Source organism: Homo sapiens, chromosome 1, assembly GCF_000001405.40.
Source record: "Homo sapiens chromosome 1, GRCh38.p14 Primary Assembly".
NCBI lineage: Eukaryota > Metazoa > Chordata > Mammalia > Primates > Hominidae > Homo > Homo sapiens.
Window position 1 is genome coordinate 112,418,921 of NC_000001.11, and position 27,381 is coordinate 112,446,301.

The 27,381-nt window shown below is 38.1% G+C and overlaps 1 protein-coding gene across 4 annotated transcripts in view, besides 1 other annotated feature; it reads left to right on the top strand.

Moving 5' to 3' along the window:
• Nucleotides 1-27,381, top strand: part of CTTNBP2NL (CTTNBP2 N-terminal like) — a 70,078-nt gene that overhangs the window by 27,834 nt on the left and 14,863 nt on the right. The gene's annotated exons all lie outside the window — the stretch shown is intronic.
• Nucleotides 25,367-25,661: a silencer, noted in NCBI's record as "tiled region #6417; HepG2 Repressive non-DNase unmatched - State 23:Low". NCBI's record gives its function as "represses a minimal TATA promoter and a strong SV40 promoter by Sharpr-MPRA in HepG2 cells {active_cell/tissue: HepG2}" and the evidence as "EXISTENCE:reporter gene assay evidence [ECO:0000049][PMID:27701403]".

Below are 27,381 nucleotides of genomic sequence, written 5' to 3' on the forward strand. Positions count from 1 at the left end.
ATCTTAGATCTGATGCAAAGCCACACTAAATGGCTTCTGTGACTAAATAGAATCCACCTTGCATTTATTGGTATTGCTTTATTTTAAAGCATTCTTTAAATCATCTATACAATGATAAATGGTGAAATATTACAGCTTTCATGTGCGATTAACTTAAGGAGTCTTGAATTCGTTTCCATTGATGCCTCAATCATAAAATAGGGATATCCTCTTTTAAAACCGAGGATAGAACTTTGTTGTGTTTGGCCAAATGCTGTTGCAAAATCCCCCAAGCAAGAAGATTTACAGGCAAAAATGTTGTAGACATGACAAAGTTAGAAGTATATTTAGAGTATGAGATTATGTAATACATCATTCTATAGGTTTAACTGTTGTGAGTTTTTTCAGCCACAAAGGGTTAAAATGAAAAAATCGAAATGTTATGTCTTTGTTGAAACAAATAATTTACTTTCACTGAAAATATTATTGAAAAAATAATCATAAGGATCTAATGACAGTGCCAAAATATAGAAAACAAAAGTTACCATGGAAGGTGCTGTGGCTTAAGAACATCACAGCTATGATCATATAGTGGTTAGTACTCTGTGTTGTGCCTGCAGCAACCTCAGTTGTATCCAAGTTGTGGCACCAAAAATTAAAAAAAAAATAACAATGCAAGTTCACTATAAGTCCATAGCCTAACATCTGCCTTTGGTCACGGCCTTGTACTTATTATGGAAGCAGATTATTATAAAGACTGGTCTGAAATGAAAAACGTAAAATTGAACTTAGCAATCACCATACATACTAATAAGCCTGTGAAGAGAGTTTGCATTTTTTAAAAAAATCAGATATTAGCTTGCTTGATAACAGATCTTTGAAAGTCTTAAACGGACTCAAGTTGAAACATTCTCTGGCACCCATAAGCCTGGACCTAACAGTTCTTTGGCCAAAAATGATCCCATTTTAATAGATGGTTTTTAGGAAGAGCTTTTAAGATTGGGATGGGTGGTTTCGATCATTGATAAAGATCACATGAACACATGAACATAAGCTATAACTGACAGAAGTCCAATTTCTGTCTAGTTCCCAACTGGGATATTAGGGTGGGAGCAGAACTTTATTTAGGTTACTGAGTTATAAGGTTTTTATATTTACAGTATTCATAACCTTTATTATAAAACGTTAATGAATTAATCAGTGACCATTTGTGGCCACATTTTAATATGTTTTTTAGAGTTGGAGTGGCTTTTTTTTTTTTTTTGAGATGAAGTCTCGCTCTGTTGCCCAGGCTGGAGTGCAATAGCATGGTTTCAGCTCACTGCAGCCTCCGCCTCCTGAGTTCAAGTGATTCTCCTGTCTCAGCCTCCGAGTAGCTGGGATTACAGGCGTGCGCCACCACACCCAGCTAATTTTTTAATACTTTTATAGAGATGGGGTTTTACCGTATTGGCCAGGCTGGTCTTGAACTCCTGACTCCTGATCTACCCACCTCAGCCTCCCAAAGTGCTGGGATTACATGCGTGAGCCACCACACCCAGCCTGGAGTGGCTATTTTTATTCCTATGCTCTGTTTCTTTTTCTGGAGACAGAGTCTTACTCTGTCGCCTAGGCTAGAGTGCAGTGGCTGGAGTGAGCAGCTCACTGCAGCCTCAACCTGCTGGACTTCAGTAATTCTCCCACCTCAGCCTCCTGAGTAACTGGGACTACAGGGGCATGCCACTATACCTGGCTAAGTTTTGTATTTTTTGTAGAGACAGGGTTTTGCCATGTTACCCAGGCTGGTTTCGAACTCCTGCTCAAGCAGTTCTGCTGTCCCAGCCTCCCAAAGTGCTGGGATTACAGGCATGAGCCACCGTGCCAGCCTATTCCTGCTCTCTCTGAGTAAAGTTTATACATGGATTCCTGATTTTTCAAAAAAGAAACATAAAGATAATTACTAGGCACTCTTCAAAACCATCAACCAGAACATTCAATTAAGTGTAGCTGTTAGGAATGTGAGCTTTCAAGTGAGACAGACTTTAGGGTTTGAGCTCTGCCACTCAATTGTAGTGTGATCTTAGACCAATTATTTTACCTTGTAAGTTTTATTGGTAAAATGTTATGGTTATTACGAGGACCAAATGAGATAGCAAATGCTAATTGAAGTGCTCAGTGCTCATTTACTGTTGGTTATTATTATTAGAACAGAGGTTCAAAGTCCATCCATCCATTTAGGAACAAAGATACATTCCATAAAGCAAGAAATACTAATAAGGCCAGGCACTGTGGCTTATGCCTATTAATCCCAGCACTTTGGGAGGCCGAGGCAGGAGGCATTATGTTGCCAAGGCTAGACTCGGACTCCTAGCCTGAAGTGCTAAGAGTTTGAGTCTAGCCTTTGCAACATAATGAGACCCCCATTTCTTTTCTTTTTTTTTTTTTTTTTTGAGACGGAGTTGCCCAGGCTGGAGTGCAGTGGCACAATCTCAGCTCACTGCAACCTCTGCCTCCTGGGTTCAAGCGATTCTCCTGCCTCAGCCTCCCAAGTAGCTGGGACTGCAGGTGTGCGCCACCACGCCCGGCTAGTTTTTTTGTATTTTTAGTAGAGATGGGGTTTCACCATGTTGGCCAGGCTGGTCTTGAACTCCTGACCTCGTAATCCACCTGCCTCGGCCTCCCAAAGTGCTGGGATTACAGGCATGAGCCACTGTGCCCGGCAAGACCCCCATTTCTACAAAAAAAAAAAAAAAGGAGAAGAAGAAAGAAATACTGATAATAGGAAAATGACAGTTCTTCTCAATTAAATCTTTGTTGTTATTAGTGGCACTTGGACATTATCTTGTTTTTCTTATGGGAATTGACAGTTTTGAGGTGACCCATTCCCATCCACACACCCAAAAGCATGTATTTTGAGACAGCAAAGGTTAAGGGTGTACTCTGGTGCATGGAACAGATGTTTTAATTCCTTCTCTTTATAATGAAAACAGGAAATACAGGGATAATGCAGAAGCCTTCGTAGCAGATTTTTTTTCATTGATTTGTTTATTATTCCATTGTTTGATGCAGCTTATTTTGTTTTTTTAAAACAGCTTTATTGAAGTATAATTGGCATGATAAACTGTATTATTTGATATGTGCATACTGATGTTTTGATATGTGTTTCCCCAAGAAACCATTATCACAATCAAGATAACAAACATATCCATTGCTCCCCAAAATTTTTATGCCCCTTAGTGACCTCTCCTGCTCAACTTTCCCCACTACTCTCTGCCCCTTACCCCAAACCACTGATCTGCTTTCTGTCATCAGAAATTATTTACATTTTCTGAAATTTTATATAAGTGGAATCATATGGAATATACTCTATTTTTTCCTGGCTTCTTTCACTCAGCATAATTACTTTGAGATTTATTCATGTCGTTGTGTATATTGATAGCTCATTTCTTCTTTGTTACTTAATAGTGTTGGCATTATATGTATATACCACGGTTTTGTTTTATCCACTTATCTGTTGATAAACATTTGTATTGTTTCTAATTTGGGACTTTATAATTAAAGTTGCTGTGAACATTCATGTACAAGGCTTTGTGTGGATATATGCTTTTATTTCTTTTGAATAAAAGCTAGAAATTGAATGGCTATATCATATGATAGATGTGTATTTAATTTTTAAGAATCTGCCCAAGTGTTTTGCAAAGCGATTGTACCATTTTACATTCCACAGATATATCCAGTTGCTGCACATCCTCACCAAACTTGGTATAGCCAATCTTTTTCATTTTAGCCATCCTTATAGGTGTGTAATATCTCATTATAGTTAAAATTTGCATATTATTGTTGGCTGATGTTAAGTATCATTTCATGTGCTTATTTGCTAATTTGCTCTCTGTATTATGTTTTTTTGTTTGTTTTTGTATTTTTTTATTTTAGAGATGGGATCTCACTTTGTTGCCCAAGCTGGAGTACAGTGGTGTAATCATGGCTCACTGCAGCCTCAACCTCTTGGGCTCCAGCAATCCTCCAGCCTCAGCCTCCCCAGTAGCTGGAACTACAGGCACACACCACCATGCCTGGCTAATTTTTAAAATTTTTAGTAGAAATGAGGTCTCACCATGTTGCTCAGGCTGGTCTCAAACTCCTCACCCTAAACGATCTTCCCGCCTTGGCTTCCCAAAGTGTTGGGATTGTAGGCATAGTCACCAACCTGGCCTGTGTTGTTTTCTTTGGTGCATGCAGTATCTGTTAAAATCTTTTGCCCATTTTTTTTAAGTTATTTGTTTTCTCATTATTTAGTTTTGAGAGTTTCTTATATATCTGGATGCAAGTCCTTTATCAAATATATGCCTTGCAAATATTTTCTCCCAGTCTGTGACTTATTTCATTATCTTAACTCTATTTTTTTTACAGTTAAGATACTTAACTGTTATAGTTAATAATAATGTATTGTATACTTCAAAAATCACTGAGAGTAGATTTTAAATGTTCTCACTACACAAAAATGATAAGTATGTAAGATCATACATATGTTAATTAGCTCGATTTTGCCATTCCACAGTGTATACATATTTCAAAACATCATGTGGCACACTATAAATATTTCCAATTTTTTATCAGTTAAAAAATAAATTTTAAATAAATAAAAACCCAGCCATAATCTAGACCAGGAAAAAAAAATGCATCTTTTGTAGACAGGAAAAAAGAAAAGATACTTAAGTGTGTCTCATTTCATTCTCTTAACTGTATCTTAAGAAAAGATACTTAACCTTGTCTCATTTCATTCTCTTAACTGTATCTTTTGAAGAGCAAAAGTTTTTCATTTCCATGAAGTCCAATTTATCAATTTTTTTTGTTTTGTTTTTTGAGACGGAGTCTCGCTGTGTCGCCAAGGCTGGAGTGCAGTGATGCGATCTCGGCTCACTGCAACCTTTGGCTCCCGGATTCAAGTGATTCTCCTGCCTCTGCCTCCCAAGTAGCTGGGATTACAGGCACATGCCATCATACCCGGCTAATTTTTTGTGTCTAGTAGAGACAGGATTTCACCATGTTGGTCGGGCTGGTCTTGGACTCCTGACCTCAGGTGACCCACTCGCCTCAGCCTCCCAAAGTGCTGGGATTACAGGCATGAGCCGCCGTGCCCAGCCTATCAATTTTTCTTTTATGGATTTTGTTTTTAATGTTATATCTAGGAAATCTTTGCCTAAACCAAGGTCAGAAAGGTTTTCTCCTGTTTTTTTGTTTTTGTTTTTGTTTTTTGTTTTTCTTATAAGTCTCATAGTTTTAAGTTTTACACTTAAGTCTATGATATATCTTCAGTTAATGTTGTTATATAGTACAATGCATGGATCCATTTTTTGTTTTTTTGCATATAGATGTCCAGTTGTTCTAGCACCAATTGTTGAGATTATCCTTCCTCTTTAGAATGGTCTTTGCACCTTTGTCAGTCGGTTATTCATATATTCATGTGTTTATTTCTAGACCCTCTGTTCTGTTCTTTTGATCTATTTGTCTACCTTGATGCCAGTACCACACTGTTTTGGTTATTGTGGCCTTGTGGTAACTTAAAATCAATTAGTGTTAGTCCTCCAACTTGTATTCTTTTTGAAACTTGCTTTACTTATTTATGGTCCTTCGCATTTCCATATGAATAGAATCAGCTTGCCAATTTCCCTAAAAATCCTGTTGGGATTTTGATTGGGATTGTATTGAATCTAGAGATCAATTTGGGGAGAATTCATATCTTAACAACATTGTGTTTTTCGATCCATGAATATGCTATATCTCATCATTTATTTAGGTTGTCTTTAATTTCTCTCAGCAGTGCTTTGTAGCTTTTAGTGTATAGCTTTTTCACATTTTTTTTGTCAGATTTACCCTAAGTGTTTCACACTTTTGATGATACTGTAAGTGGTATTGGGTTTTGTTGTTATTGTTGTTTTGGTTTGGTTTGTTTTTTTGAGACAGGGTCTGACTCTGTCACCCAGGCTGAGTGTAGTGGCATGATCATGGCTCACTGCAGCCTCAAGCCCCAGGCTCAAGTGATCCTCCTGCCTTAGCCTCCCAAGTAGCTAGGACTACAGGCACACACCACAACGCCCAGCTAAATTTTTTTTTTTTTTTTTTGGTAGAGAGATAGGAGCTCACTGTGTTGCCCAGGTTGGTCTCGAACTCCTGGCCTGGACCCAAGTGATCCTCCCACCTCACCCTCCCAAAGTGCTGGGATTACAAGCGTGAGCCACTGCACCCAGCCAGTATTGTTTGTTAAATGTTAATTTCTGATTGTTTATTGCTGTTTTACAGAAATAAAATTGGCCAGGTGCGGTGGCTTACACCTGTAATCCCAGCACTTTGGGAGGCTGAGGCAGGCAGATCACCTGAGGTCAGGAGTTCAAGACCAGCCTGGTTAACATGGTGAAACCCCGTCTCTACTAAAAGTACAAAAATTAGCCGGGCGAGGTGGCACACGCCTGTAGTCCCAGCCACTCAGGAGGCTGAGATAGGAGAATCACTTGAACCTGGGAGGCAAAGGTTGCAGTGAGCTGAGATCGCGCCACCGCACTCCAACCTGGGCAGCAGAGCAAGACTCCATCCCCATCAAAAAAAGAAATAAAATTGATTTTTGTATACATTGATTTTATATCCTGCAACCATGCTAATAAACTCACTTATTAATTCCAGTAGCTTTTAAAATAAATTTCATGGGGGCCCACGACGGTGGCTCATGCCTATAATCCCAGTATTTTGGGAGGCCTTCGTGGGTGGATCATTCAAGTCCAGGAGTTCAAGACCAGCATGGGCAACATGGTGAAACCCCTTGTCTAAAAAAAAAAAAAAATTAGCTGGGTATGGTAGCGTGCATCTGTAACCCCGGCTACTAGGGAGGCTGAGGTAGGAGACTTGATCGAATTAATGAGATTGAGGCTGCAATGAGCTATAATTGCACCACTGCACTCCAACTTGGGAGACAGAATGAGACCCTGGCTCAATCAATCAGTCAGTCGTTTCCATTGGATTTTCTACAGACAATTATGTCTGCAAATAAGGACAGTTTTACTTACTTCTTTCTAATCTGGATGCCGTGTGTGTGTGTGTGTGTGTGTGTGTGTGTGTGTGTGTGTGTGTGTGTCTGTCTGTCTTACTACATTGGCTAGAACTTCAGTACAATGTCAAGTAGAAATGATGGGGATATCTGTGTCTTCTTCCCAGAAAGCCTTCAGTCTGTCAAGTTGTTGGCCGTAGGTTTTTTGCAAATGCTGTTTATCAGATTAAGGAAATTTGTATTTTTAATTTGCAGGGAATTTTTATTAGGAATGGATGCTGGATTTTGTCATGCTTTTTCTGTACCCATTAAAAGCATAAAAATTTTTATGTCCTTGTTGTGTGTCTGAAGTATTGTGTGAAAGAGAGCTTCATCCCCTTTTTTATTGACCTTCTCTGAGATCAAGTAGAGTGATGTGGAGTAGCTTTTTCAGATTTATTCTGCTGCTTTTTAGAAACTAAATTCTGTAATTTAATTTTTAAAATTTTGCTGTGCTGGGCACAGTGGCTCACACCTGTAATCCCAGAACTTTAGGAGGTCAAGGCAGGAGGATCACTTGAAGCCAGGAGTTGAAGACCAGCTTGGGCAATATAGCAAGACCCCATCTCTAAAAAAAAGAAAAAAGAAAAGAAAGTAAAATTTTGCTGAGTAGAGTCCAGTAATTAAATCATTTTCCCTACGGCAAAACTTTTTTTTTTTTTTTTTTTTGAGACGGAGTCTTGCCCTTTACTGAGGTTGGAGTGCAGTGGCATGATCTCGGCTCACTGCTACCTCTGCCTCCTGGATTCAAATGATTCTCCTGCCTCAGCCTCCTGAGTAACTGGGATTACAGTTGCCCACCACCACACCCAGCTAATTTTGTATTTTTACTATAGACAAGGTTTCACCATATTGGCCAGACTAGTCTCAAACTCCTGACCTCAAGTGATCTGCCCACTTCAGCCTCCCAAAGTTCTGGGATTACAGGGTTGAGCCACCGCACCTGGCCTCCCCATGGCAAAACTTAATAGTAATTTAAAAATCATAAACATTTCAACAGAATAAACAATACCTCTACTGCTTTTATGAACTCCTCTCCTTTAAAGCAACTTTCCTTTGTCTTTTATTGGTTTTAATATTTTATTGGCTTCTTATGATCATTTTTCCAAAGACAAAAATACAAAGTGTGAATTTTTATACCTGATAGAATATTATTACCCCTTTCCCAGGAATAACAGAAATAATTTATTTGAAACAATCTTAAAGGCTCCTTTTATGGTAAACCATTTAAATTGATTTTTAGTGGCTCACTTAGGAAATAGACATCAAAATGTACCATTCCTTTAGTATTTTTCCGAAGGCATTTTTTCTCGTTAATCTGGGAGCACAAGAAGATTGATTTTAAAGGGGATTGTGTTTATAGGTGACATCCCCTATATTCTGAATGCTGCTCCAGAGTCAGTTGTTGAAGAATAAGTAAACATAGTATTGCTTCTCCGTTTTACTTTTGGGTAAAAAAATTCAGGGTTTGTTTCTTTTACTGAATTTACTAATCTCAGGACACCTACTGAGGAGAGTGGCTGTAGTTGACATGATTTTACATAAAAATCCATTTACGAAACATTTTGTATAAGTTAACTTCCAATTACCCCTCAGACAACCCATGATAACATAGTTATTTTGATCTAGCAATTAAGTCTTCAGAAAAAGTAAATCCTGCTGGGTGTGGTGGCTCATGCCTATAATCCCAGCACTTTGGGAGGCCGAGGCAAGTGGATCACGAGGTCAGGAGATCGAGACCATCCTGGCTGACACGGTGAAACCCCGTCTCTATTAAAAATACAAAAAAATTAGCCAGACATGGTGGCATGCACCTGTAGTCCCAGCTACTTGGGAGGCTGAGGCAGGAGAATCCCTTGAACCCAGGAGGCAGAGGTTGCAGTGAGCCGAGATCGCGCCACTGCACCCCAGCCTGGGGGACAGAGCAAGACTCTGTCTCAAAAAAAAAAAAAAACAGTAAATCCTTTATTAATAGCTACATGAATTGGGTGGTATATCCACATGATGGAACATTATGAAGCCATTTTAAAATAAGATGCATATGAAGAACGTTTAATGACATAGTAGTGTTCCTAGGACAAAATTAAATATATCCTTTAATCTCAATTATAAGCATTTATATATATATGTATCCACACACACACACTCACACACATACACACACATAAAAGACTCAAGCAAATACATTGAAATTTGTAGTTTGAGTGTTAATAGTGGTTGGCCCTAGGTAGTAGAATCATATGCATATTTTAATTTTTTCTTCAGAACTTCTGCTTTATATCTTAGTTACTTTTATTTCAGAAATGTTGATTTTTTTAAGTAACAATAATCTTGTACAACACATTTTTTTCTCAACTCTCAGTTTATTAACATTCTTGCCCAAAGAAGATACTTTAGCCTTCTATTATTCACTTTGTAGGAAAATAAATTAGAGCTAATCAGACCTACAGTTAAATTCTTCTTTTTTGGTTGTTCCTGATATTAAGTTAATATTATTTCTTTCCAACCCACCTGAAATAACTCAACTGAATCTGCCTAAAAAACCAACCTAAATTTCCAGACTATCCAGTAAAAAGATTGCAGAGTTTGGGGGAAGAAAAAAGAAGACTTGAATAAAGACCTTTTTATCATACCACAGTCTAAAGAGTTGTCTTTTAAACATTTTTGAAATAAATTTCACATTTCACCACAATCCAGGATACATATACACACCCATATACGTATATTAACTAAAACCAAAATTTCACTAGAATTTACTTTGTGTTTTACTATACTATAATATTTATACTATACCATACTGTACTGTAATATTTTCTGTTATACTTCATTTTTCTTTAAATGCTGATTATGACCCCACTAGACTAGTTTTATGATCCACTAATGAGCTGTGATCCAAAGTTTGAAAAACATTAGTCTAAAGCACTTCCTTTAATTTCTTAATTTGTTTTATAGTGGCAAGATTTCACTTTGTTTCATCTTGCCAGATCCTGAGACTGGAAATAAGATTTATTTAGGTATGTTTCTTATAAAATTCTAAAAGAATTTTGCTAAGCTATGGAATCAGAAGCTATTCCCAAAGTTTATTCCTTTAACAAGAACTAGCATTGTATATAGCCCTCTATGGTTTTCAGAGTGTTTCTATGTGTGATATGTTGTTGAATTCTCTGTACCCTTGTGAAGTTGATATTTTACATGCAGATCCTGGAGCTCATCTCTTGTAATTTAACATATTATTTTCAGATTAACTGTGCTCAGCTAAATGAACTATGGGATCTGACCATAAGAGATAAAATGTGTTTCATTAAAAACTGTACCTGTAAAGGTGAGGAGAAACTGGCACTCTCCTATATTGTTGTCCTCAACTGGTTAAGGAGAGTTTGGCAATATCTATCAAATTTAAAAATGCAGAGCCAGGCATGGTGGCACTTGCCTATAGTCCCAGCTACTTGGGAGGCTGAAGCAGGAGGATCACTTGAGGTCAGAAGTTCCAAGCTCTAATGCAAAATGATTTTGCCTGTGAATAGCTATTGTACTCCAGCCTGGGCAATATAGCAAGACCTTACCTCTTTCTTAAAAAAATGCATGTATCTAGAAGAAATTTCACTTCTAGAAATTTCTGCTACAGATGTCCTTAGGCCTTTACAATACAAATGTTCTTAGAGCTAATCTTTACACAATGAAGTATATGTGTAAAGATACCCATTGCAGCATAATTCATAGAAACAAAATGCTAGAAACAATTTAGTGTCTCTTATTAGGGTTCTGGTCAAGTAAATTATGGTATGATTGTAGAATAAAATACTGTGAAACTAATAAAATGAAAGATCTTTATATATAATAAAGAAAGAAAGTCACAGAGCACTGTACTAAATTCTTAAAAAAAGGCAGTATTAAGTTGCCACTGGTGAAGCCAGAAATACATCTCACAAAGCCTCTTCCTTCCTTTTAGCTTGGTTCTCTTGAGAATAGTAGGAACTCTTCTAATAATCTGTTCTAGGAAGAGCATGAAATTAGTAAGAGGGAAGTGCCAGATTCAGTGGTAGAGTACTCTAGCAGAAAAGGGCCAAAAGGTACAGGACAGGCTATTCATATGTGTTAGTTGTTCATAAATTGGCTATTTATTTAAAAAAGGACTGCATTCTTAAGCGATTAAATGTCTTTGCTCCATTCAGAAAAACATCAAACCCCATATATAAAAGCTAGCTCTTTTCTTTCTTTTCTTTTCTTTTCTTTTCTTTTCTTTTCTTTTCTTTTCTTTTCTTTTCTTGTCTTTTCTCTTTCATTTTTGAGACAGGGTCTCACTCTGTCGCCCATGCTGGAGTGCAGTGGCATGATCTCAGCTCACTGCAACCTCCGCCTCCTGGGCTCAAGTGATCTTCCCACCTCAGCCTCTTAAGTAGCTGGGACTATAGGCTTGCACCACGACACCCACCTATCTAATTTGTTGTGGTTGTACTTTTTTGTAGAGATGGGGTTTCGCCATTTTGCCCAGGCTGGTCTCGAACTCCTGACCTCAAGTGATCCACCCGCCTCGGCCTTCCAGAGTGCTGGGATTACAGGCGTGAGCCACCGCACCAGGCCATAGCTAGCTTTTTTTTTTTTTTTTTTTTTTTTGAGACAGAGTCTGACTCTGTTGCCCAGGCTTGGAGTGCAGTGACGTGATCTCGGCTCACTGCAACCCCTTCCTCCTGGGTTCAAGTGATTCTCCCGCCTCAGCCTCCCGAATAGCTGGGACTACAGGTGCGTGCCACCTTGTCCAGCTAATTTTTTTGTATTTTTAGTAGAGACTAAAATACATGTTAGTAGAGACTAAAATACATGTTTCACCATGTTGGCCAGGATTATCTCCATCTCTTGACCTCGTGATCTGCCTGCCTCTGCCTCCCAAAGTGCTGGGATTACAGGCATGAGCCACTGTTCCCGGCCAGCTAGCTCTTAAAAATTATTGTCTGGCATCAGCTGTTTGCTGTATAACTTTTTATCATGTCATCATTCATATTACAAATTGTGGCATTTAGGGGTTTAAGAATGAAGATGCCAGAAGAATAAGCAAATTTCTCGTTTGACTGATGTCTTCCTGTGGGTTCTGTGTTTTGTTTTGTTGTTGTAGTTTTAATATTTTTCAAGAAAGGGGAAATTCAGTTTATAAAACAGTACCTATTTAGAGAACATACAGTTTTCCAGCAGTTACGGAGGGGCTTCAGAAAAGATTACAGCAGTGAGGAATTTCATTGCATTTATTCAGCCTGTAACTAAAACAAATAAAAAAGGGAAATAGCTTATTCCTATTTTGACTTCCTCTTATTGTGTCTTCCTTGCATGTGTTAGCCTTGTGATTTGAGATTAATCAGGGGTTATTTCTAGTTGTCCCCATAAAGAGAAGAGAAGCAAAGGAAGACAAAGAGGTTGCTTCTAAAACTAAAACATATCATTTAGTATTCCAGTTTAGCCAGTTGTAAGAATAATTTGGAAGATAGGAGAAAACCATCTTGTATGTTTGCTGAAAATATTTATGGAAAGGAGGCATTTATAGAATGAACTGGGAGTTTTATTATGTGAAATTGTTTTGTTAGAAAAGCATAGTAATATAACTATTCTACAAAACAGTTCTCTCACATATGCACAAGTTAGCTTATTGAAGCATTGTTTAATACAGTATTGGAAACTGTAAACAACATAAATGTTCATCACTAAGTTCCATCAATGGCTGCATAAACTGGTGCATCCTTAGTATGGAATATTATATACTTTTTTTAATGAGAAAGAAAGCTATGTACTGACAGATCTCTCAGACAGTGAAAACAAATTGCAAAACAGTTTTACACAATAATAATATCTATGTAATTAGGTTTTATACACACAGACACCACACACATGCAAATGTATATATATTCTTGGAAATGGAGGCTGGGCACACAGGATCACTTGAGGCCAGAAGTTTGAGACCAGCCTGGGAAACAAAGCAAGACCCTGTCTCTACAAAAAATAAAAAACTTAAATTAGAAAAAGAAATGGTCTGGAAGGATACCTAACATACTAAGAACTTTTAGGGAGGAAAGTGAAAGGGGGTTACGGTCAGGAAGAGTTTCAGCTTTATCTATATATTTTGATTTTTTTTTTTTTTTTTTTTTTTTTGAGACAGAGTCTCACTCTTTCACCCAGGCTGGAGTGCAGTGGCATGATCTCAGCTCACTGCAAGTTCTGCCTCCCGGGTTCACACCATTTTCCTGCCTCAGCCTCCCGAGTAGCTGGGACTACAGGCGCCCGCCACCACACCCAGCTAATTTTTTGTATTTTTAGTAGAGACAGGGTTTCACCGTGGTCTCGATCTCCTGACTTCATGATCCGCCTGCCTTGGCCTCCCAAAGTGCTGGGATTACAGGCGTGAGCCACCGCGCCGGGCCTATAGTTTGAATTTTTATGAGAAAATACTTACTGATGATGGAATTAAAATAAAAATTTTGTAAGAAATATAATATGCACAATGGGATGTCAAGGAAACTGGATTCATTGGTAGAAATGAGCATATTATTGTATTATTATTAAGTCTCTCTTCTTACTGATTGGAAATGTCTAGAGATTTTTTTCATCCATTTAATAAGACATTCTTCTTTTCTTATACCACCCTATTCTAAGAGTAATGCCACTTGTACTCTTGATCTTATCTTTACCCTGTTTCTTCATGACCATACTCCATCAGTTACACCTTGCCTTCTCGCTTAGTGCCCCAGTTTCTTCTTTTAATACTACTACTTATTTTTGGCTAAAGCCTGTTTGAAACTTTCCATTCTATATTTAAAAAAAAAAAAAAAACCTTCTCAATCTTGCCATCCTTCTAAGTTACCACCCTAGTTCTCTTTCTCTCTTTACACTGAAATATTTAATTAAATATTTCTCATTCCTCATTACTCATTTGCCTTTTGTTTCTACTACTCTAATGAAATTTTACGTTTTGAAGTTAAAAGTAACCGCTAATGGCCTCTTTAATTAGATGACCTAACTCAGCATTCAACCGTGTTGACCATCCTCCTTGTTAAACTTCTTTCCTTGGCTTCTGTGATATTCTTGTCCTGGTCCTTCTCAGACTCCTTTGTGTTTTTTTCTTCCATATTCCTCTTAAATCTGATATCTTCTGTGACTAGATAAAATGTCCCTTCCTGTAGCTCCCATCACATACTGTTCAAAATCTACTATAGCACTTTTCATAACTGTATTGAAATAGCATTGTCTCTTGCCCTATAGCCTTTTAGGATCCTAAAGGGTAGAAGCCAAAATGTTATTATTCATTTTTGTGTGGGGGTGTGTGTGTGTGTGTATGTGCGTGCATGCGTGCGTTTTGTTTTAAAATTCCCCGTGGCTGGGCGCGGTGGCTGACGCCTGTAATCCCAGCACTTTGGGAGGCCAAGGTGGGTGGATTACTTGAGGTCAGGAGTTTGAGACCAGCCTGGCCAAAATGGCAAAACCCTGTCTCTACTAAAATACAACAATTAACCAGGCACAATGGTGCATGCCTGTAATCCCACTACTCAGGAGGCTGAGGCAGGAGAATGGCTTAAACCCGGGAGGCACAGGTTGCAGTGAGCCAAGATTGTGCCACTGCACTGCAGCTCGGGCGACAGAGCAAGACTCCATCTCAAAAAACAAACCAACATAATAATAATAAAATTCCCTGTATCCTCAGTTTCTCCTCCCATTCCCTTCTTGGTCTCCATAAGCAACTATTCTTAATACATTTTTTATTTGTATATATTCTTGTAAAATGTATTGCCTTGTGTGTATCAATTTGCATAAATGGCATTGTGCTATCTAGCTTGTTCTGTTTCTTACTTTTTATAATTACTATGCCTTTGCAGTCCATCATGTTGCCATGACTGCACATGATCTGTTGCTTCTATCTGCTGTGTCATACTCCATAATATACACTTATTTTACTGAGTCTCCTTTGTGGCTTTTTTTTTTTTTAAAGAGACGGGGTCTTGCCATGTTGCCCAGGCTAGTCCCGAACTCCTGGGCTCAGGCAGTCTTTCCGCCTTGGCCTCCCAAAGGCCACCATGCCTGGCCTCCTGTGTGACTTCGTGTCTACACCTAGCATTGCACAGTGGTACATAGAATATGTTAGCTGAATGAATAATACATAAAAAGATATTTCCTGATACTTTGTTCTTAGCCCTGTCACATCGTAACCTATTTACTCTCTTCCTCAGTGGGTGATTTCATCAGTTTTATTGGTTTCTATGGGTTGTTAACACCCAGATTTGTTATTCTCTTATACCTAGACCCATATATCCAAGTGCCTTTTTGACTTGTGCACCTAAATATCCCGTATCACAGTCTCAGCATCCTTCCCTAAAAGCCTGTGTGTTCTGCCTTTGTTCTCTGTTTTGGTTAATGGCATCACCAACCATCCACTCACCCAACCTAAATACTTCAAAGTATCTGTGTGTCTTCCCTCTTTGTGTCTAATCAGGTGCTAAAACCTGTTGGCTCTTCTCCAGAGTACCCCTTAAATGTGGTTTTTCTCTCCCTCTTATATTTTGACTTTAGATCCAAATGGTCTCTGGATCTAGCCTCCTACCTGACACTCTGCTACTCATCTTATATCCTAGATTTGTAACCTAACCATCATTAGTATCAAGTTGATCTTGTTTTTCTCTTTAAAAACTTCTTGTGACTCCTTGCTGCCTAAAAAATTAAGCTTAAAGACATTACATTCAAGACATTTACAGACTGGCTGGAACCCAGTCTCATTTCCTGCCAGTCTACTAGCTATAAATCTGACCTCTGTAGCCAAATTACGCATTTCCATTCTTCCATAACCTTGCTTGAACTGTTCCCTTGTTTGGAATACTGTTTTCCTTTCCTTCTTCTTCACACATAGAACCCTTCACATAAAAAGTATGTCCAGGCTGGGTGCAGTGGCTCATGCTGGTAATCCCAGCACTTTGGGAGGCCGAGGCGGGTGGATCATCTGAGGTCAGGAGTTCGAGACTAGCTTGGCCAACATGGCAAAACCCCATCTCTACTAAAAATATAAAAATTAGCCACACATGGTGGCACGCACCTGTAATCCCAGCTACTCTGGAGGCTGAGGCAGGAGAATCACTTGAACCCAGGAGGCAGAGATTGTAGCAAGCCGAGATCACACCATTGCACTCCAGCCTGGGCAGCAGAGCAAGACTCTGTCTCAAAAAAAAAAAAAAAAAAAAAGAAGTGTACCCAATAAATGTTCATAGAATTGAATCATACGTAACATGGTTTCTCTTTTTCTGTTGTCTACGCTAGATTAGTGATAATAGGAGAATTTATATATTTGTGCTGATAAGCATCACAGATTATAGGGATTTGTTTACTTTCTTTATGTTTATTATTATTATTTTTTTCACTAAATGTAAGCTCCTCAGGGGGCAGGTCCTTAATCTTATTTACCACTATATCCCAGGTATCTGGACCCAAGTAAGTACTTCATAAGTATTTGTCATACAGGAGAATGATTTCAGGCCCTGTAAGTCTACCTTGAATGTATTCAAGGCTCAAAATAGATTGCTAATTATTAATTCATATTTCTCAGAAAAGAAACTTAACTTTAGTAATATAATTTCATAACTTTTACTGTTGTTGATAATTTCCATTCAGTGACATTATTTACATCTTACCCCGTACTAAGAAGGAACAATTTGTTCTTCAGGCAGGAAATCATTGCATTGTGTTCGTTCTTTATTGGTAGTGAAGGATACCACATAATTGGAATATGTACTTTTGCTCACTATTTTGTATTCATCTAAAGAAAAAATCGTTTGGAAATTATTTCCTATTACTTCTTAATTTTCAACTGACATTTAATCTTGGTATCCTTTCCTATCAAATTGGGGTGTGATTATCTGCATTCCCTGACTGGTCAGTAAGGGGAACTTTCAGTATCAGATAAAATAGTTCAGTATGAAAAAAATTAGCTTGTCTTTCTTCATCTGGATACATACAAAAATATTATTTCCCAGACTTTTTAGCTAAGAACCTTTATGGTCATCTGTCTAAATTACACAGATTCTCTATCTTTTAGAATGTATCGACTGATCCTCCATTTCTCCTGTGATTTTTTTTTTTTTTTTGAGATTTGCTTTTTTTTTTGTCCTGTTTTATTGTTGCTTGTTTGTTTGTTTGTTTGTTTGGCTTTCACAAAATCTTTATCATCCCCCTTTGTCTGTTTACTTTCCAAAGTGGTAACTTTGAGTTCTTTAACCTTTAAAATGTCTTTTTCAGGCTCTTGTCCATCCTTTTCTGTGAATATCTGTCATAGGACAAATGACTGACATCTTCACCCCAGACCTAGAAATCATTAAAGGAGGAAGGTGCCAAAACAGAGTCTTAGAGGCCTAGAATAGAGCCAGTTTTCCTATTCCTTATGGGATTAAAATGGAAAAGAGGGTCTTGGTTATTCTAATCTGGTGACATTTAAAGTTTCCATATGGTGTTGCCATCCTTCAGAATGAAAAGAAGAGCTCATGTCACCAAAGATCACTCCTGTTCTTCTTATCCATCCATATCCCAATCCTCTTTAGCACACTTCTTTTTTTTCTTAGAGACAGGTCTCACTGTGTTGCCCAGGCTGGTCTCACACGTCTGGCCTCAAGTGATCTCCTTCAGCCTGCCAAGTAGCTGGAATTATAGGCACGAGCCACTGTGCCTGGCTCCCTTTAGTACACTTTTTTTTTTTTAACTTTTATTTTAAGTTCAGGGGTACATATGCAGGTTTATTATGTAGGTAAACTAATGTCATGGGGGGTTGTTGTACAGATTATTTCATCACCCCTAGTACCCTGTAGTTATTTTTTCTGGTCTTCTCCCTCATCCCACCCTCCACTGTCAAATAGTCCCCAGTGTCTGTCGTTCCTCTCTTGATGTCCATGTGTTCTTATCATTTAGCTCCAGCTTATAAGTGAGAACGTGTGGTATTTGGTTCCTGCATTTGGTAAGGATGATGGCTTCTAGCTCCAACCATGTTTCTGCAAAGGACATGATCTCATTCTTTTTTATGGCTGTGTAGTATTCCATGGTGTATATGTACCACATTTTCTTTATTCAGTCTACCACTGTAGGCACTTAGGTTGATTGTGTCTTTGCTATTGAGAATAGTGCTGCAGTGGATATTCACGTGCATGTCTTTATGGTAGAATGACTTATATTCCTTTGGGTATATATTGAGTAATGGGATTACTGGTAGTTCTGTTTTTAGGTCTTTGAGGAATTGCCAGACTACTTTCCACAATGGTTGAACCAGTTTACACTCCCACTAATAGTGTATAAGTGTTCCCTTTTCTCAGCAACCTCACCAACATTTGTTATTTTTTGACTTTTTAATAATAGCCATTCTGACTGGTATGAGATGGTATCTCATTGTGGTTTTGATTTGCATTTCTCTAATGATCAGTGATATTGAGCATTTTAAAATATGCTTGTTGGCCACATGTATGTTTTCTGTTGAAAAGTGTCTATTCATGTCCTTTGCCCACTTTTTAATAGAATTGCTTGGTTTTTTTTCTTGTAAAGTTGTTTGAGTTCCTTTGTTTTTTTTTGTTTGTTTTTGTTTTGAGACGGAGTCTCACTCTGTCACCCAGGCTGGAGTGCAGTGGTGCCATCTTGGCTCACTGCAACCTCTGCCTCCTGGGTTCAAGTGATTCTCCTGCCTCAGCCTCCCAAGTAGCTGGGACTACAGGTGCCCACCAGCACACCCAGCTAATTTTTTGTATTTTTAGTAGAGACAGGGTTTTACCATGTTAGCCAGGATGGTCTCGATCTCCTGAGCTTGTGATCCGCCTGCCTCAGCCTCCCAAAGTCCTGGGATTGCAGGTGTGAGCCACCATACCCGGCCGAGTTCCTTCCTTATAGATGCTGGATATTAGACGTTTGTCAGATGCATAGTTTGCAAATATTTTCTCTCATTCTGTACGTTGTCTGTTTACTCTGTTGATAGTTTCTTTTGCTGTGCAGAAGCCCTTAAGTAATTAGATCCCATTTATCAATTTTTGCTTCTGTTGCAATTGCATTTGGTGTCTTTGTCATGAAATCTTTGCCAGTTCCCGTGTCCAGAATGGTATTGTCTAGGTTGTCTTCCAGGGTTTTTATAGTTTTTGGGTTTTACATTTAAGTCTGTAATCCATCTTGAGTTAATTTTTGTATGTGGTGTAAGGACATTTTAATGATATTGATTCTACTAGTTCATGAGCATGGAGTGTTTTTCCATTTGTTTGTGTCATCTCTGATTTTTTTGAGCAGTGTTTTGTAATTCTCATTGTAGAGATCTTTCACCTCCCTGGTTAGTTGTATTCCTAGCTATTTTATTCTATGTGTGGCGACTGTGAATGGGATTGCGTTCCTGATTTGGCTCTCAGCCTGGCTGTTGTAGGTGTGTAGGAATGCTAGTGATTTTTGTATGTTGATTTTGTATCCTAGACTTTGCTAAAGTTGTTTATCAGCTGAAGGAATTTTTGGGCTGAGACCATGGGGTTTTTCTGTATTCTATATTTCTATATCTATTCTAGATATAGAATCATGTCATCTGCAAACAGGAATAGTTTGACTTCCTCTTTTCTTATTTGGATGCCCTTTATTTATTTCTCTTGCCTGATTGCCCTGGCCAGGACTTCCAATAGGAGTGGTGAGAGAGGGCATCCTTACCTTTTGCCAGCTTTCAAGGGGAATGCTTCCAGCTTTTGCATATTCAGTATGATGTTGGCTGTGGGTTTGTTGTATACTTCTGTTATGAACAGAAGATAAAGGCAGTCTTAGGTTGGGATTACTTGGACCTAACAGTTGCAGTGGTCACCTTTAGCATGCACAATTTCACCATATATTTGTGCCTTACTGCAGTGATGACCATTGCCAGGTTGTATTCAAAATTATCACTAAACACCCTGCAATGCAATGATAGCCCACCTTTTACTTTTTAGTCTTGACGTTTTTACTCTCTCCCCATTTTGTTCTCTAGAGAAGAATGATCCTTCCTTAATTTGAGTCCCAATCTATCTATTTGACTGCTGGTTGAAACCGAATAACTAGCTAGCTACTTCTTTCTACGTAAGGCTACAGTGACAGCCGAAATTGCTGCCTTTCCATCTGCCGACTTGTGACATAGGGCTTGTTCTTTATCTTAATATGTTACTTAGATATTCTATTCCACCTTCTGTCATTAGGATGTATGATTACACTGTCCTTGCTTCTGTTTGCCTGCCCTGGCATCCTGCTCTCACCATGGTAGGGGTCTTAAAGTATTACTGTCCCCTTTTTCATTCTGCCCTGTCTCTTTTCACACCCCACCTCCACTTCCCCCACAAATTTCTTATTCCTGTTACTTGATAACTTCTAAATATGAATAGTTTCTACTTCTTAACCAAGATAAGGCCCTCTTCCCAGGACCTCACTTTTGAGCAGCTTGTTTCTTGGCATGTTTCTGTGTAATATCAGTCTGTTTATAATTTAAGAAACTTGCTTCAAATAAATTTTTAGAGTTAAGACCCATCTCACAGTTACGCAGCTTCAGATCTCTCTCCCATAGAATACCTTAACTAGAGGAAATGAAGATATCCTTTCACATCTTGTTTACTGAGCTCTTTTAAAATATATTAACCTTGAAGTTTTCGGCACTGTCTGTTAATGGTGAGTGAAAGAGCCCAGCACATCTCCAATAAAGGTTTTTCAAGTTCATAGGGTTAACTTTAAGTATCACACACAGCTATAGTCTGTAGGCTGGGTTTCACTGTGTAATACTTCAGAGACAGTTTTGGGTTGTGTGGGCCCCCTACCCGAACCCTGCCAACCTCATGGTGTTTCCTGTAATTCATTAGATTGCCGATTGCTCCATTTATCTGCCAGAACCCACCCACTTCCAGGGTTGGCCTTTTCCTTCCTATTCCTTGTGAATGTAAAGTCTAAGTCTTAGAAAATTCCAATCTCAAATAAATTGTACTTGGTGTTCCTCTAAACATTAATGATATTGTTTAGAAAACATTTAAACAGAGAGGCTATTTGTTCATTGCTGATGTTAGGCCTTATACTTGTCTAGCAAATTTTAAGCTCCTTGAGGGCAGTGGACTACATCTTACATAGTCACATCTCTGTTCCCATGTCATTACTCACGTTGCTTATAATACACAGTACCCAGCAAACATTAAGTATTCAAACCATTCAGAGCCTGGGCCCTGCAAATCATGCACAAGTCCAGAAAACTTTCCCAGATTTCTCCAATAGTATTTTGGTTGTTTAACCCTGATAACACAGAGATGTGTTGTGTTGTTTATTTTTTGTTACATTTTGTATATTTGATGTTAGACCAAACCTCTCCTGGTTTATCGACTTTATAACATTAGTTAGTTTAAAATAAACAATAATACCGATTACTTATCATTTCTGTTAGAATTTGCATGTTTATCATAGCTTAAATTGTTTAAAATGATAGATTCAGGATTCAGATTTCTTGCATTCTTCATTCCATTCTAGTGTTTCTCAAACTTTTTGGACAGTAACACATATTAAAAAGTAGACTTTGCATTGTGACCCAGGGTACACACCTATATTCTTATGCTAGAAGTAAAGTTCCTCAAAATGCATCTTCTAACATTCAGTGCTCTGCAGTGTTTTTTATTCTGTTTTGTTTCATTTTTAAGTTACTGATCAAGACCTACTAAATTGAAATTCATTCCTACAAAGTCCTGGGGATGTATTTCTGTATTACTCAATCAGCTAACATAGTCAGCACTTAACTATATATAACACTTATTGTTCTTCACTACTTAATTAGCTTTGTGACCTTGGGAAAGTCACGTGTTTGATATTCAGTTTTTCTATAAAATGAAGATAATAGTGATGTTTACTTCATGAGGAATGCTGTTAGGAATAGATTAGATATGTAAAAAGCACACTGTTTCGCAGGCAATAAACGCTCGAGTGTTAACGTCTCTGTTGTTTTTGCTGTCATTGTTAAAAATACTTTGATTTGACCTTCCTATCTGTTTTGGAAATACTGTATGTAAAACATATACTACATATAACTTGTTTCCTTATAACTTTTATTATATATATTTACATTTTACATTGTTTAACTGGAGGTATAATTTGGATATAGTGAAATGCACAGATCTTAAACATTTCAATTCAATGTGTTTTTACAGATGCACACATCCACATAACCCACACTCCTATCAAGACACAGAACATTCTTATCACACCAGGATCTTGTGCCCCTTCCCAGTCAATCATCCCCCTGTCCCCAGAGGAAACCACTCTTCTGATTTTTTGTTCACCATAGTTCGGTTTTGTTTATTCCACAACTTCATCTAAACAAAGTCACACAGAACATACTCTTTTATGCCTGGCCTCTTTTTTTTGTTCAGTATGATGTTCAGGTTCATCAGTGTCACTGTATGTATCAGCACTTTGTTCCTTTTTATTGCTGTCTAGTATTCCATTTTATAAATGCACCACATTCTGTTTATTCTCCTGTTGATTGATATCTGATTATTTCTAGTTTGGGGCTATTACGAATAAAGCTGCTATAGCAGCTTTATTGTATAAAACTCTTGTAGAAATGTGTTTTCATATCTTTTGGATTAATATTTAATACTTACAAGTAGAATTACAGGTAGGATTTGTCTAACTTTATGAGAAATTTCCAGATCAGTTTCCAAAGTAACTGTACTGTTTTATACTCTCACTAGCAATGTGTGAGTGTTCTACTTACTCTACATTCCTTCCAACATTTGATGTTGTCAGTCTGTCATATTAGCCATTCTAGTGGCTGTATAGTGGTATCTTTTTATTTTTTTAACTTACACCTCCCTGATCCCTAATGACTTAGGCACTTCTTCATATGCTTTTCCCTATTGCAGTTTTCTCTTTAGGTCTGTGATGCATTTTTATTTTTGTATATGGTATAAGGTATGCATCTTCCCATTGTATTTTCAGAAATGTACGGTCTCCCGAAAAAAGAGATTAGGATCTAATGTATCATTTAAAATAATACTTTCTTCAACTGGAACAAATGTACCACTTTGGTGATGATACTGATAATGGGGGCGGCTGTGCCTGTGTGGGGCAGGGGATATATGAGAGATCTCTGTACCTGCTGCTGCATTTTGCAGTGAACCCAAAAGTGCTCTAAAAAATAATGTTTTTTGTTTTTTGTTTTGTTTTGTTTTGAGACAGTGTCTCACTCTGTCACCCAGGCTGGAGTGCAGTGGCGCGATCTCGGCTCACTGCAGCCTCTGCCTCCCAGGTTCAAGCAATTCTCCTGCCTCAGCCTCCCAAGTGGGGACTACAGGCATGTGCCGCCATGCCTGGCTAATTTTTATATTTTTAGTAGAAACAGAGTTTCACCATGTTGGCCAGACTGGTCTCAAACTCCTGACTTCAGGTGATCTTCCCGCCTCGGCCAAAAATAAATTATTTTTAAATTATACTTTAAAATTCTTAATTTATATTCAGAGCATTCTCCCTTTATCAGTTCATTAATCTGTTCAGTACTTGTTGAATTCCTAAACACATTTTCTTCCCCACCTCAAAAAGTTATTCTTGTGGACTCAGTCCAGAATGTACATATAATTTGTTTCAACCACCTACCTACACTGAACAAGTAAGAACAAAAAGAAAAAAAAATCTCAACACATTTGATTTCAGTTTCATTAGAACATTTCACAGGACTCTGGAATTTGAATGTTGAAACAGCTACATTATTCTGTTACTCATATTCTTTTTTTTTTTCTTTTAAGAGAGTCTCGCTCTGTCGCCCAGGCTGGAGTGCAGTGGAGCAATCTCAGCTCACTATAACCTCCGCCTCCCATGTTCAAGCAATTCTCCTGCCTCAGCCTCCCAAGTAGCTGGGATTACAGGCGCCCACCACCACACCCAGCTAATTTTTGTATTTTTAGTAGAGACGGGGTTTCGCCATGTTGGCCAGGCTGCTCTCGAACTTCTGACCTCAGGTGATCACCTGCCTCGGCCTCTCAAAGTGCTGGTATTACAGACATGAGCCACTGCGCCCAGCCTGTTTACTCATATTCTTATGCTATCAGCAAGCAGCCTGGGGGCTAGAAGTGCCACACTTATACCTATTTATACTAAACTATTTTTAGTCTTGAATAGAATTTAGTACACTGTAGTCAAATAATAATAAATGGTCATCTGTCCTTATGTAAATAATTGCTTTTATAAATATTTATGGTTGCAGGTTGACTCCAGAGGGAATATTTGAAGTTCATTCTATTTCACAGTTAGTTAAAATATTTTTGAGACAGAGTCTCACTCTATCACCGAGGCTGGAGTGCAGTGGTGCGATCTTGGCTCACTGCAACCTTTCCCTCCCAGGTTCAAGTGATTCTCGTGCCTCAGCCTCCTGAGTATCTGGGATTACAGGCGTGTGCCACCATGCCCAGCTAATTTTTGTATTTTTAGTAGAAATGGGGTTTCACCATGTTGGCCAGGCTGGTCTTGAACTCCTCACCTGAAGTCATCTGCCCACCTTGGCCTCCCAAAGTGCTGGGATTACAGGTGTGAGTCACCACACCTGGCTAATTTTTGTATTTTCAGTAGAGATGGGGTTGCACCACATTGGCCAGGCTGTTCTTGAACTCCTGACCTCAAGTGATCTGCCTGCCTTGGCCTCCCAAAGTGCTGGTATTATAGCTGTGAGCCACTGCACCTGGCCTGAAATATTTTTAAATCATGACAATTTTCTCTCTTTACTGTCATGTTTAATTTTTGTACTATTTTCCAAAAAATAAAGTTTAATTTAAATGAGGCTAAATCAGCTCTTTTATTAGTATCAAACATTAAAATCTAGTTCTTGTTCAGCAATTATAAAGGAACTTCCAGAACAAGGGTTTTCTTATTGTTGTCATCTTTATCCAGAATGTTTGCTTTATTTCCAGTTGCTCAGGTTGCTATAAACTACTTATAGTTTATCTATAGTGTGAATTACTTGACAGTAAATAGATTCAGTGTGCATGTGATAATGATTCCTTTTAACATGCTTTTGGTAGCATTAACCAAATACTTGGAATCATATTGTTGTTCTGGTCCCTGGCATGAAGTATTCAGATTTCTTTGAAGACCTATGATGTTCACATTGCTGATTACTTTTTAAAATATCACTTCAGAATTGTCTCTTTAGTGGCAAAAATACATCCTAATCCAGTTATGGTACCAGCCTGAGTCTTGAAAATAAAACCTTATAGTTGAATATAAACTTCCAATTAAATGAGCCTTAATTCTTCACCATTGGATTTTGAACGATTTTTCATGTTGGTGCCAAAGAATAAAAAGAAATTGATTTCCTACTTTAAGATTGGAATATACACACACACTGTACTGGGAAGTGGAGAGGAGGTGACTACTTCATATTTCCTTTTGAAGTTAGGAATAACACAGCTGAAACTTTTGGAGAGCAAGTATGGCCGACTCTAAGAAGATTATGTGATTTGATTTTAAGCTTTCAGTAGTGGTGTGTTTCATTCAGCCTGTGATAGTAAAAATAAATGAGTAATAGATGACTAGTGTGCTCTGGCTGCTGTGATAATACCCTCTGTTATTGAATCTGTCTAACCAGCCAGTTATTTTTCTGCTGTCTGAAATTAAAGACCATCATGTTTTCTGACAATGTAGGAATTTCTGTTCAGTTAATGTGTGTGTTGTTATTGAATTAAAAATAATAAAATTGAATTTACTTTATTTTTATTACTAAACCCCCTCCAAACTCTAATATCATTTAAAATTTCTTATAAAATAACTGAAATATCATTAATATATTACAACTCAGCTTTGATAGTTTTGAATATAGGTGTTTGGTCTTTAAATTTTGACCCGAGATATAAATGATAGTGGTAGCACATCTAGTCATTGACCTTGTAGCCAGCCTCCAAGATGGCTCCCAGTGATCTCTACCCCATGATATTCACACCCTTGGGTAGTCTGCCCCCAAATTTACCAGAGTTGGTCTGTGTGACTGATAGAATACATCAGAAATGATGGTGTGTCACTTCCAAGATTAGGTTATAAAAGACATTGGGACTTCCATCTTGGTCTCTGTCTCTTTTATGGGGCTGAGGGTCACTTGCTGTGTGGGAAGCTGGCACTTGTAAGGAGCCAAGGCCTACGCCAACAGTCATGTGAGTAAGTAAGCATGGAAGTGGGTCCATCAGTCCCAGTCATGGCTTCAGATGACTACAGCCCTGACCAACAGTTTGATTGCAACCTCATGAGACCCTGAGCCAGAACCACCCAGCTAAGCCCCTCCCAGATTCCTGACCCTCCAAAACTGTGAGATTTTTTTTTAATGTTTATTATTTAGGCTGCCTACTTTGGGGGTGATTGGTATGCAGGAATAGATCATCATTACACACCCCCATTAAATCTCTTCATTCTTCAAATCTTAATATCTGTTTTGGGGTTTTTTTATTATTTATACTGTTAAACCTGTAATCCATATAGTTCACCTGACTGAATCATTAAGTTGATTGAAAAATACCATGTTCTGTCTCCCATGTTCCAGTCCAGTGTTTGATATAATAAATATAGACTTTGAATTCACCTTTCCTATATTTGACCCCATATTAGAATGTACTTAAGAGAATCGCTCTCTGACAAGGAGTCTTCTTGAGGTTATTCCACAGATCCTTTTCCTTTACAGGCAAAGCCGTCTGTATTATACAACTTGTAATTACTATGCAAGTGATTATGGAATTACTATGAAGTACTACAGGAGAAAGCAGACAGCCAAACAACTGTTCTCAGGCTGAGACCTCACCAAAGAAGCTCTTTGTCTATTACTCATAACTCTGTGGTGCTTATTAATTATACAGGGTAATCACAGTGTGGGTTTTAAAAGTCATATTTTGGGGATTAGTTAACTATATACTACTCAAACCAGAGAGACAGCTTCTCAGCAGATCTGATGTCAAGGTCATGAATTGTAGTCCCAGCTCCTACTCCTCCATCCCACTTTCTCCATGGTGCTCTGAAAAGGAAAAGGTTATTAAAAGTATTTGGGTTTACTTTTTCTATTTCCTTTTTGCCCTAACTAAACCAACAGTGCCAATAGTTATTCCTTTACCATCACTAACCATACTGAAATGGCTATCATGAATAAGAAATGTGACAGTTAGAAAAGTAGTATTTCAGCTGCATAAAGAGATTATTTTTTCTTTTGCTTCTTTTTCTAAACTTTTCTATTTTTCTAAACATGGCCTAAAAAAGTGGAAAAAAAAAAAAAAACAACATAGCTGGGTGAGGTGGTATGTGCCTTTAGTCCCAGCTACTCAAGAGGCTGAGGTGGAAGGATCACTTGAGCCCAGGAGGTCAAG